The 13,396-nt window shown below is 38.0% G+C and overlaps 1 protein-coding gene and 1 long non-coding RNA gene across 3 annotated transcripts in view; one reads left to right on the top strand and one right to left on the bottom strand.

The window, feature by feature from the left end:
• RADX (RPA1 related single stranded DNA binding protein, X-linked) overlaps positions 1-12,446 on the top strand; it is a 67,462-nt gene extending 55,016 nt beyond the window's left edge. For both annotated transcript variants that reach the window (NM_018015.6, NM_001184782.2), the window contains 2 exons: positions 2,170-2,337; positions 11,135-12,446. In NM_018015.6, the coding sequence (NP_060485.4) occupies positions 2,170-2,337; positions 11,135-11,265 (299 nt within the window). In that variant the 3' untranslated portion in view covers positions 11,266-12,446. The remainder of the gene's footprint in view (positions 1-2,169; positions 2,338-11,134) is intronic.
• LOC124905235 (uncharacterized) lies at positions 8,345-11,195 on the bottom strand. Its single transcript, XR_007068365.1, has 2 exons — positions 11,115-11,195; positions 8,345-8,473 (listed from the first exon to the last, which is right to left on the bottom strand). It is a non-coding gene; the product is annotated as an uncharacterized LOC124905235 (long non-coding RNA).

Here is a 13,396-nt window from a genome sequence, read left to right on the forward strand (position 1 = left end):
CAGCTACTGTGTGCCTAGCACTCTTCTAAGTGCTGAAGTCACATTAGTGAACACAACAGATAAAAACCCTGCCCTATGAGAGCTTGTAGTAGAGTGAGATGGTGATAAGTGCTAAGAAAAACAGGTGCTGGAAAGTGTTGTAGTAGGAAAGGGTTAAATTTTAAATAGCAGAGGTCTCCTGGAGAAAGGAACATTTCAGAAACTTGGGGGAGATGTAGTTATCTGGGGAAAAACCATTCTAGGCACAGAGGCAGCAAGCACAAAAGCCCTGAGGCCTATTGACTTAAACGTTTGTACTTTGAACTCTAGTGGTTTGTTTGTTTGTTTGTTTGTTTGTTTTTGAGACAGGTTACCACTCTGTTGCCCAGGCTGGAGTACAGTGCTACAATCTTGGCTCACTGCAACCTCCACCTCCCGGGCTCAAGCAATCCTCCCACCTCTGCCTCCCAAGTAGCTGGGACCACAGGCGCACACCACCACACCCAGTTATTATTTTTATTATTGTATTTTTGGTAGAGACAGGGTTTCACCATGTTACCCAGGCTGGTCTCGAACTCCTGGACTCAAGCAATCCACCCACCTCGGCCTCCCAAAGTGCTGGAATTACAGGCATGAGCCACCACACCCGACCAGAACTCTAGTTTTAATCAAACAGCTCAGTAAAAAATTCACTGATAATGCTGAAGCTCTACTCCCAATATTTTATAATGTAGAAAGCAACTCAAAATAATATCAATAACACACTAATATGTCTACTTTCTTGAAAATATCAGGATTTCCAAATTCTGATAGTTTCTCAGTTTTAAGGCATCCTTCCTTTTTTGTTTGCAAGTTGGAACGGTCAATGGTAAATTTAATGCAGTGTTTTCTTTTTATTAAAAAATAAAATTAATGATATATATCTAAGTTAAATTTAGTCTTAGAATCAAGGATATAAGATACCAGCATGTGCACATTCATATGAGTCTTGCAGCATTGCTAGGAGTTGTGACGTGGCTATGCTTCTTATAATACTGAATTAGAATTCTTGGAAAATTCTAGATAACATGATTATTTCAATTTATGGCTACCAAATTTTAGTAATCCTTAGAAAGCGCTAAGTGGCCTTTAGCTGTATGTTAAGTTAAATATATGAGATTTAATGTCATTTCCCCATAAAAAGCAAAGAACTTGCATTTCTGGATTGATTTGCAGCTTAACGAGAAGGATTTGGTTACCCATCATTGGCCCATACTCAGTACTTAGGAATCACTATAAGGGATGAATCAGAGAGATATTAAGGTCATAGAATCTAGCTGACTAAATATCTGGGAAAGACCGAAAAGGAGGAGTTAAGGATAACTCTCAGGTTTCTGATTTGGGTCACTAAATAGAATTCATAGTTTTGAAGCTGTGCTCTGTGTGTTTGTTTACGCTTACTCTAGCCAAGATGGTCTTTTACTCTGGTCTACACCTTTGGCTTGTGCTATTCCCTGCCATGCCTAAAATGCCCTCTTCTCTGTTTATTTAAATGCTATTCATCCTTTAGTACATAGCTAGAATTCTTTTCTTCCTCTAGGAAGTCTTTTTTATCTACCCCAACTGACATTGACCCACATAAAAAGATGACAGCCAAAGGTCAGGATTCACTTTAGTTCTTCCCTCTTAGCCCTTTTTCTAGCACAACCTTTTATGGCCCTGATGGTGAGTGTGCGAACCTTGTCTTGTATATTTGAGGACGGATGAGATCTAGCTACTATATCATCCCTGACCTTGCATTAGTCAGATATCTTTGAGTCCAAATGGCAATAAGGGAACGAATAGTCATCTCCAAACTCCCCTGCCCCGGAATAGCACCTGTCCTAAATGACCAAGGAAACACTCTACATGTCATTTGTGTGACCATGCTGTCCTTTGGATAGTAAGATTCCAATCTTCCATCAGTAGGGGAAACCTTTTGAACTGTTATTTCCAGCAGTGGTGAAAGGTTGCACTGGAGTGTCTACTCTTTCAACAAATACCATGTATTCATAAATTGCAATACTAGGAGTTTAGTCTCCAGTTTTCAAACACAGGTTTTTTCAGATCTAAAGCTATCTGGAACATGTTGGGATCAAACCAGCAAACTCGGCATCAGCACCACATGCTAACCCACTGAACTTTTAATAATGTGTGAACTTTCTTTAACAGGTCTGAACCATGAGATAGCAATCGATGTTGCTTTCCTACCCATGTATTGTCCAGAAGATATTCGAACATCTCAAATAGACACACTGTTGACCTCCATGAATTACAGCTGTGCATATCCACAGGACACAACTGGAAATGACCGATTGCCAGGTCCAAGAGCGGTTGCAGGTAAAACAATCTCAGTGTTCTTTTCACTCAGAAAAAAAAAAAATTATAAACAGCCCTAGCCTTAAGATTTTATTATGTAAACAGTTTTAGCCTTAAAATTTAGTGTAGTTTTAATTAAAGGGTTATTTGGTAAATGTTCCCCAAGACTTATAAATGAGAATATGTCTTTTAAATAAATTGAATAGCTGTTTCTACTCTAGGCTAGCATTAAGAATATTATCTTATAATACAATACAATTCCAAGTATAATTATTTCATCAGACATAAGTGGTATGCACATGGAACAGTACAAATTCTACTCTTTTCTTCCTTTTTCTCAGGCGACACAATTTGTCCTTTCACCTTGTAATTGCCTGAAATTACAATAACTCTATAGTATAATACAGTAAAATTATTCTCTCTTATAAATGTTTAGTTATTCCAGTGCTATGCAATAAATTTCTTGAGAACTGCTAGGAGCATATGTATTCCCAATAGTGAAACTCTTCAACCAGCTAATTGTTTAGGTTGCTGCATAATATACTGAACTCTAAATTGTCTCTATGTACCTATAAAATTATCTGTCCAATTATAATTACCCCATTCACGTTTTTCTGTTATTTCTAATTCCTAATCATGTGGTAAAGTTTCTAGCAGTTTTCATTGAGCTTATCAGGATATTACATTTAAAATGGCTTTTAAGAAAGGCCTTATTATCTTGGGATTTTGTGGTGGGTCTTTCTAAGCTGATGAAACTCTTGAGTGTATGTTGTTTTTGAACAAGTCTTATGAGCTGTGCCTGATGACAAAGTAATTTGGGGCAGTAACAGTTGCTGCAAATTGAACTTGGGTACCTAATTTTATAAGAGATGATTTTTTTTTTATTTTTCCCACAGTCCATTTTAGAGATGATATACACTTGCCGTATTACTTTCTACATTGGAGCTCCTTAGACTTTCAGTAATTTCACATTTCTTAATTAGTGCCCTAACATGCAGCTTAAATATTTGTGCACTCATGTATGCTCATGTTTCATATAATATCCACTTATGTTACATGTCTTCTGCTGTATGTCTACACTACTATTGATATAAAATACCAGTTCAGTGTTCTCAGCTAATTGTTTAGTGCTAGTGCCAGTATTCTTCCAGTAGTCACTAACATGGTCATATGAAATATACCTGGTACCCTTCTGACAACGCAGGTAATATTTGAAATGTGAAGGACAAGAATCACTAGGGAAGACAAATTAATTGGTAATCACAAACAAAGTGGTTCATTTTGAGAGGAATACCATGTTTTTCATGACATAGCATTAATAATAATATGTATAATATAATAATAATAATAATAATAGTGTTCATTTAACTCTGTACCAAGCACTGTGCCTGGGCATTTTATATGGTACAGCTAATCCTAATAAGAATCTCACAAAGTGAACCTTATTATCCCCTATTTATAGATAACTAGACTGAAAATCAGAGAGATTCACTAGCATGAGTAAGCTAGATTTTGAAACCTGATCCGATTCCAAACTTTTTCTTTCCTTTCATGATTCTCAACTGAAAGATAAAAATAGTTACAAAATGATATAATGCAGTGTCTCATGGTATAATACTAGTGTCATCTTTCAAACATTCTTTATAGTTTCTTTTTTATTACAAAAGCTATACACATTAATAATTTAAAAATTCAAATAGTACACAAAGGTACCAGGTAAAAATGAAAGCTCCCCTCCTTGCCTTCCCAGGTCCAGCCCTTTCCACCAACTCACTCACCTATTCTCAGGAGATAACCAGTATTATTTGAACTCTTTAAGAAATGATTTTTGCTTATGAAAGTATGTATTCTATTGCTCTCTCTCTTTCTCGAATAAATACACAAAAATGGAATTAGTAAACATATGGTTCTATATCCAGCTTTTTCCCTTTGACAGTATGTCTTTGACATATTTCATATTAGTATATAGAAAGCTACCTCATTCTTTTTAATAACTACAAAGTATTCCACTGTGTGGATGTGCCAAAATTTATTTGACCAGTCTCCTACTGGTAGACATTTAGATTGTTTCTAAATGTTTTTGCTATTAACAAACAGTACTGCATGAATATCCATTATGTGTTGTGTGTGTGTCAATAAAATCTTTACACTTGTTTCACTTAAGATAATGACCTCCAGTTCCACCCATGTTCCTGGAAAAGACATAATTTCATTCTTTTTATGGCTAAATAGTATTCCACAGGGCATACTTATACAAGAGATATGTAACTTTGGTAGATACTGTCAAATGGTTCTCTAAAATGGTGATGCTAATTTACACTAGAACCAAAAGCAAGAGTGCCACTTTACTCATGCCCTTGTAAAAACTAGATATTATTGGTCTTACTAATCTATGGTGGATAGATAAGCAAAAATATATATTATTATTTTGATTTGCATTTATCAATTTCTGAGCTTTAAAATCTTAATACATTTCTTGGCCATTTATATGTTTTTTCTTTCTATGCTGGTTTTACCTTTCATTTGTCTCTATTTTTTCTTAATAATTTGTAAGTTCTCTTTGCATATTAAAGAAATTAACCTTTTATCATGTGTTACAAAGATTTTTACCCAGTTTGACATTGTTTCAATGGGATGTTTGTTTTGGTTGTTTAAGTAATTTTACTCATATGTACTCAAATACACTAGACTTTTTATCTTGTAGCTGCTGGTTTTATGTCATACTCAGGCATCACTCAGGTCAAGACTACATTTTTTTGAATTCACTGTCTTTTTCCAGCACTTTTAGAGCTTCACCCATATATACTGATATATTTTTATTGCGATAAAACATACAGGTCAAAATTTACTATTTTAACCATTTTATATGTACTATTCAATGACACTAAGTACATTTACAATGTTGTGCAACCATCACCACTATTCATTTCCAAAACGTTTTCATCATCCCAAACAGAAACTCTGCACCCATTGAACAGTAACTCCCCATTCTCCCCTCTCCCAATCCCTGGGTAACAGCTATTCCACTTTCTGTCTCTAGAAATTTGCCTGTTTTTCATTCCTTTTTGTGGCTATGGCTGAGTGATGGTCTTGGACAAGATCCAGGAGAATTCTCTGAACTACCAGGAAGAAACTCTTGTTTTCTTCCCTTATTTTCTCCCAAAGATACTCTCTCTCTCTCTCTCTCTCTATTCTGAGCCACTTGAAGCTGAGGCTGGAGTGACACAAGCTGCCCTGTAGCCACCACTATGACTGCACTGGGTCAGACCTGAAGCCAGCACCACTCTGAGTCTGGCCCAAGGCCTGCTGTAACCACTCCCTGGCTACCACCTATGTTCGCCTTATGCCCTAGGGCTCTATAGTCAGGCGGTGGCAAAGCCAGACAGGCCTGTGACCTTCCCTTCAGTGCAGCTAGTTCCTCCAGTCCACAAGCAGGTCCAGACGTGCCATCCAGGAGCCAGTGACTAGAGTCAAAAATCTTAGACGTCTACCTGGTATTGTATTGCACTGTAGGTGAGCTGGCTTTCAAACAATACACAGTCCCTCCCCCTCTTTGCTTCCCTTTCCAAAGGCAGGAGGGACCTCATCCATGGCTATCAGCACCACAGGCCTATGGGGAGCACTGCCAGACCTCCACCAATGTTTGCTTAAGACCTATGGGCTCTTCAGTCAGCTTGCGGTGAATGCTGCCTGGCCTGGCACTCACCCTTCAGGGCAGTGGGCTCCCCTCTGGCCCAGGGCAGGTCCAGAAATACCATCTAAGAGCCAAGTCCTGGAATCGGGAACCCCAAGTGCCCACTTGTTGCTCTACCTCCCTGTGGCTGCGCTGGTATCTAACATGCAAGACAAAGTCCCCTTTTCCCTCTGCTTTTCGCAAGTAAATGGAGTCTCACCCCAAAGCCACCACAGCTGAGAATGTGCTGAGTCTTACCTGAAGCCAGCCAGTCTCAGAGTCTCACCCAAGATCCTTGACATAGTACCTGAGGTATCACTGCGGGTTATTCAGGGCCCAAGGGCTCTTCAGTTAGCAGGTGATGAATACTGCCAGGATTGGATCCTTTCCTTCAAGGCACTGGGTTCCCTCCTGGCCTAGAGTGTGTCTAGAAATAACATCTGGGAGCTAAGGCCCGAAACGATGTCTTCACGACTGACTGGTGCCCTATCCTGCTATGCCCTATCTTGCTGTGTCTTCTTTGGAGAAATATCTATTCAAATGCTTTGCCCATTTCTTCCCTCTCCTCTCCTCAAGCAGAAGGAAGGGGCCTCTTTGGGAGCCATGGGCTGTGCAGCCTGGGGTTAAGGGAGGGGTGATGCCAGCACTTCCTTAGACACGCTGGCTGATGTCTCAGTAGGTTGTGTCTCCCCCCCATCCCCCCCCACACACACACACCGCCCCTGGTACACTGTCTCTGAGTCCAGTTCAGCACTAGGACTCTCCTAGGAGCTGCAGTCCTTGTAGCCTAGACTGCCTTTCCAGTTTATTTAGGACCTCAGAGCACTTTAGCTCATGGTGGTGAGGCTTGTGGACTGCTGGGATTAGTGATTCCTTTCTAGCTAGTGCTGGTTTCAATGCTCCATCCATGAGCAGGCATCAGCTGAATTTGGTCCACTTTTGCTTTCTGCTGTAACAAGGGCAGCACTGAGTTCAATGCCTCACAATTGCTGGATCTCCCTCTCCCCAGGGCACAGAAATGCTCTCTGTACCCTGCCATGGCTGCACCGGGGTGGGGGGTGGTATTGGTGATTCAGGAGTGTTTTTTCTACCTCTTCAGTGCCTCTTTCAGTGTTATGAAGTTAAAACCAGGTACTGTGAGTGCTCACCCGACTTTTGATTCACATGAAGGTGTTTTGTGTGTGTGTGTGTGTGTAGATAGTTGTTAAATTAATGTCCTTGCCAGGGGAGGGGTGGGAGACGATTGGTGGAGCCTTCTATTCCGCCCTCCTGCTCTGCCTCCAATCCCTCAACTTGATCTCATTTCCTTTGGATACATACCCAGTAGTGGAATTGCTGGATTAAACGGTTATTCTATGTTTCACTTTTTGAGGAACTGCCAAGCTTTCTCATAGCAGCTGCACTATTTTACATTCCCACCAGCAATGCATGAGGATTCCAGTTTCTCTACTTCTTCACCAGCACTTGTTTTCTGTTTTGTTTTGTTGTTGTTGTTGTTTTAACAACAGCGATCCTAATGGATGTGAAGTGGTATCTCATTGTGGTTTTGATTTGTTTTTCCCTGATTACAAATGATGTGTTAAGCATCTTTTCATGTGCTTGCTGCCCATTCGTATGTCTTCTTTGGAGAAATATCTACTCAAATGCTTTGCCCATTTCTGAATTTGATTTGGGTGATGTTGATATGGCTTCATCTTTACAACTTAAAATTTTAATCCATTTGGAATTTATTTTTGTGTAAAGAATGAGATAGGGATCTTTGGCCAGGCGCGGTGGCTCACGCCTGTACTCCCAGCACTTTGGGAGGCCAAGGCGGGCGGATCACGAGGTTAAGAGATCGAGACCATCCTGGCCAACATGGTGAAACCCCGTCTCTACTAAAAATACAAAAATTAGCCAGACGTGGTGGTGCACGCCTGTAGTCCCAGCTACTCAGGAGGCTGAGGGAGGAGAATTGCTTGAACCCGGGAGGTGGAGGTTGCAGTGAGCCGAGATCTCACCACTGCACTCCAGCCTGGCAACAGAGCGAGACTCCATCTCAAAAAAAAAAAAAAGAGTGAGATAGAGATCCAGCTTCATATTTTTTTCCAAATAGCCATTTATCCCAAGTCATTTATTGAATACTGATTACTGATATGATATCCTACTTGGTGTCATCTTTAACTTTGAAGTCCAAGGATATCATTTTGGAAGTACAGCATGGTATGGAAATGTTTTAACACATCTAAGAAAACAATTTTATTATTCTCTAGGTAATCAAGGTTTCCCTTATTAGTTTCAGAGACAGGAATACCACACTGTATTACAATATCTATAGGACTATGCTCAATTACAAAGCAACTCTAAAGTCACAGACACTTTAACTCAAGAAGTTTATTTCTTGCTCAAGTCTGATGCAATCAGTCATCAGCTCTCTTCCCAACAGCAATTCACGAATCCAGTCTGCTTCCATCTTGTTGCTGCCTAAGCAGGAAAAAATGGCTTCTAGGGTCGTCAAGGCAGAGGAAGAAAGATGAAGGAGATGCTGGCTTTTAATTATGCTGGACCAGAATTGACACATTACTTCTACTTGCATTCTCATTTGCAAGAACTAAGTTACATGATCCCAGCCTAGCTACAAGGGAAGCCAGGACACTGTTTTTTCCTGTGACCAAAGAGAGGAAATGGAGTGGAGAACACATAGTGTTGCCTTTGTCACACTTAACTTATGCATTTGTAAGCTTCCTAAAAATGTATAATTTTTGTAATTCTAGCAATTTAAAATGAACCGAAGAGTAGCTCGTTTTATTAGGTAAAATCTATAGTCCTTTTTAAAGAATTTTTATGATATAAATACTATCCTAATTTCATAATAGGTTTCCTTAAGTAAAGATTATCACTGCTAATATTTAATGAGTGTTTGCTGTGTGTCAACTACCATTCTAAATGCTTTATGTGTATTCAATCCTCAAAATACCCTATGATGTAGGTACTAGATAAGCAAATTGAGGCATAGAGAAGTTGTCATTTGTTCAAAGCATTACACAACTAGGCAGAATTACCTGAACAGCTGAACAGAAGACTTATTTATATTTTATGTTGTGGATAGAAGTAAGTCATTGTTCATAAAAGTCAAAATACGATAACAATTAGAATTATCTGTTATCATCAGATCTCAAGATCTTGAAATCTTTCCAAAGCATCTGGATTAAAGTCCACCCCACTCAAGGCAAAAGAAAATTATATAGTACTACCAGTTGTAATCATTATGATTTAGTGAACTTATACAATTTTAAATCATTAATTAGATCTTTTGATAAGTCTAGCAGAGATGGATTTACTGTGACGCTAATGTAGCCTAAATTTGCACAAATCCCTTCTAAAACCCATTTGGCATTCTTACGTATTTTGTATTTTTTCATTAAAAAGTGCCCCCAAATAGTATACCCTTGGGGTCCCACAAAACCTGGATCTACTACTATATTTTAGCACAGTTTTGTAGAGATGTAGCTCTAGCATAAAAGATTAAAAGCATATGCCTTCATGCCAGCTTGTCTGGATAAGAATCACCATGTGACTTTGCTTGTTACTTAACCTCTAATTGTTTTCATTTTCTTATATTGAAAATAAAGTATTTTTATGCGTAGCCACTAAAGTCTGTGATGCATTATCTTAGCAGTAGTCAGCTAGTGTTTTGACAGTTTCCTTAAACACCTGGAGCCCAGAAATGAAAAAGAAAAAATATATTCTCCCAGTTTTTGTAAATTGACCTGGAGTGGTGGCACTCCTTCGACACTTAGCCAGGCCATTTACAATTCTGCCTTAGCCTTCACTTCCTGCTTGCTCAGAGCATGAAGGTCAGCCACAGATGAGTGATTAGAGTCTTCTCAGCCTTTTTCTGACCATATGTCTGCCCTGGGTATGCATGTGGCCTTCTTGATTCCCCGTTGTACAAAGGAGTTTTTAAAGCCCACTTTACACCACATATATCTTTTCTCAGCTTCTTCCTGCCCAGGATTTTTTGGTTTGCTTCTTGCTTGTCCCAACTTTATAACCTGCCCAGCTGCACTGGCTACTATTTTTGTCTTTAAATGCGTTCAGCAATGCCACCACCAGAAAAGCCATCCCAGCTGTGGGAATGCTCCAAACTGGGTAAAACAAAAGTAAACCCTTGCATCTTCCTTGAGGGAGCTACTGTAAAGATGAGAACACACAACCACATCTTTGAGAATAAGGTCTGCATTGCTCCCTTTGGTACTAGCAACCTGCACCAGAAGTGCAAGCAGCCATCTTCATGACTGCCCCTTATCTGCGGAGTGAGGAGTGATAGGCAGGCAATTTAAAATACCACAGCACACTCTACCCACCGTGTAGCAGTTTATTTCTTTATTAATTTTTCCCTAGTTGCTCTAAGTTTTTGTCTAGATTCTAGAGTTCTGCAAAAGTTGATTCTAAGAGTTTTTGTCAGCTTATAAGATGCTTTATAGAAGGACAGGGCCCTGGAACTCGTTACTCTGCCATGTCACTCACCTGATCCATTTTTTTTTTTTTTTTCTGAGAAGCGAATTGTCTTACTGGAGACCTGATACATTTTTCACAGAGTTTCTCAAGAGTATCCAAAGATAAGTTTTAATTAATAAAGCCACTTTAAAGGAAATACACTTTAAAAGATGCATCAGTTACACATATACACATATGTATACATATATTTATGCGGTAAAATATATAAGGCAAATACAGTTTTGCTTTATGGCTTATAGTTTTACAAAAATATTGATAATTGAATTTCAAAATAGAAAACTTTATCTTTGCATTCCTTTGAAGTATACCAATAAGCTATTTATTTGGAACCTTACAAATGACCTTGAAGATATCTGGATTTATTTTGCTCCACCAAGAACAAAACAAAAACCCGAAAACTAAATGTGGCTTTTGAATACCAGTTCATGCCATGGCAGTTTTGGTGTATCTGTTTGATATGTTCACCTTTATCTGCAGAAGTTGCCATATAATTTTGGTAAATGCATGTAATAAATTGGAGGGAAGAGGGAGAGGATGGGGCACAGTGTTAATATTATAAGAAAAAAATTAACAGCTTATGTGATACTAAAGTCAAGTAAATATTTAACTATTTTACAGTACTTACCATCTGCTTTTTACTTTTAGGTGATATTATAAAAGCAGCAACTGAACTGGATAGAGTGCATATCGTCGGTATCTTGGATATCTGTAATTTGGGTAATAATAAAGTGGAAGTCTATTTGCACAAGATTTATAGTCCAGAGAATACTTCTTAAAAGTTAGCAAATGAAATTATTACAGATTATACGAGTGTACTGCTTTAAAGATATTCCATCATTTTGCTGGTAATTTCAGTAACTGTTTTCAGCAAGAATATTACATGAGCTCTAAAGTTATTAAGCAGTTTTATGTTCGTTTTGTGTTTAGGGAGCTTTTTAAAACACTTCATTTCAGATTCATTATTGAAAAAGGTCATCAAAATAATTTTTGTGTATAAGGGAATTTACCTTGCTTACCTTACTAGTATGACTATTATCTTGACTTCTGGTAATTTATGTTCACTATTCCATTTGTGAAGTGTACTTTCATTCTAAAGCCTCAGTATAAGGCATCCTAACTTACAAGAGTAACTTTCCATGGACATTTAACATCCTTCCAATTTTATTCACATATAATGGGAAATTTTGAATTGCCAGTTTGAAGACTGTTCTCCTAAAGTGTTCAACCTGCACTTCTTACAACCAAGGTAGTTTGTATCATTTTCAAAAGTACACATTATTAGGGTCTAGTTGCCCCTGGTCCTTAGCTTGCTCAGCTGCAAAATAAGCGTGCTAAATTAAATTGTCTTAAGGTTTTTCCACTTCATTTTGTGACTTTGTGTGGTTCGAATTTCTCAGTATTTTAACCAGTGTGTTGATGTTAAAGTCAAAGGCTGCAGTATGTCTATATTCTTGCTGTACTCATTGGTAGTTTCAGTATATGTAATGTGAGTTTAAATAGTGAAATTGTATCTCATATTAACATTTCAAATGCTCATATTGAAAATGGAAAATAGTAAACACGGGAATTGATTTTATTCTGGTTGTCTATAATACTTCATTTTAAATGTAAATGGCCACTCTGCATTTGCAAGGCCCGGTGGTTGACATCTGTGTGGTTTGTTAGATGAGACAAAATGACCATTAAATGAGTTTATAGATTATTCTGTATCAAGATAAATCTGATTCCAGTTAAGCTATAAACTTGTGGGATTTTCTTGTAGCCCTATAGTTCTGTGACTTCATTTGCTATACGCTTTAAATGTGTTGAGCAGCCTATGAACCTAAAGACATACTGCAGTTTGTTCATAAATGTATTCAGTCTTTTATTCTTTATAATTGTGTGTAAATGTTAACTAAACAGTGGATTCCTCTCGTGTTACAGTTTTGAGTGAATTATTAAAGAAGTTAAAATGCAATAACTTTTTGGTCTCCTGTCTCATTTTGAATGAATTTGATGTGTTTCCTTCATATTTTTGGCCTAAATATATACTTACTAAATGAGCCAAGATGATTCTTCCATATGGGTTTAAAGACTGTTGTCAAAACAAATCTGAACTATATTAGCTTTTTGAAAAATTATATGCACATTTTCAGTGAAAATCAAGCAATATCCCTAAAAGAACTCAAGTAACTCTGATGTTATTCTAAGGTTATTGTACCTGACTTCTAGTAGCTTGAGACCTAGAAGTTGCCCCTAACAAGGTTTTAATATCTATTTTGTAGATGGGGAACTGAAAAAGACTAAATGACTTAATGTAAATTAGTAAAGACAATTTAATGGTAAGGTCAAGCTTATATTCCAAAGTCTATTTCTTTAAACTCTAATTAGAGCAAAAAGTAAAATGTTTGAGGCTGGGTGTGGTGGTTCACGCCTGTAATCCCAGCACTTTGGGAGGCCAAGATGAGTGGATTGCTTGAGCTTAAGAGCTCGAGACCAGCCTGGGCAACATGGTAAGACCCCTGCATCTAAAAAAATAGAAAAAGTAAAATGTTTAAATAATAATACAATTTCTATTAGTATATTAGATCACTACACAATAAATTCTATGTCTTGGGGCTCATGAAATAATGAGCTAAATCATTGCAGCTTATATTCAAATCTTCGAGTGTCCACTCCATGCCTAGCACTGGGCTAGCACTAGGAACACAATACAATACAAACAAAAATAAACAAGGCCCCTATTCTCATGGAACTTAAAAGTCTCATGGAGGAGAAACACATCCAAATAATTGCACAAATAAGTGAGACAAATGTGTCAATGGAAACATGTGATTTATATTAGAGCTTTTTAACAAAGTGGGGGGCACTAGGAAAGTTTTTCCTGAGGAAGTAAACTTGAGGTATAAAGGACATGCAGCAAAAGGT

The sequence above is a fragment of the Homo sapiens genome, chromosome X (genome assembly GCF_000001405.40).
Source record: "Homo sapiens chromosome X, GRCh38.p14 Primary Assembly".
NCBI classification, from domain to species: Eukaryota; Metazoa; Chordata; class Mammalia; order Primates; family Hominidae; genus Homo; species Homo sapiens.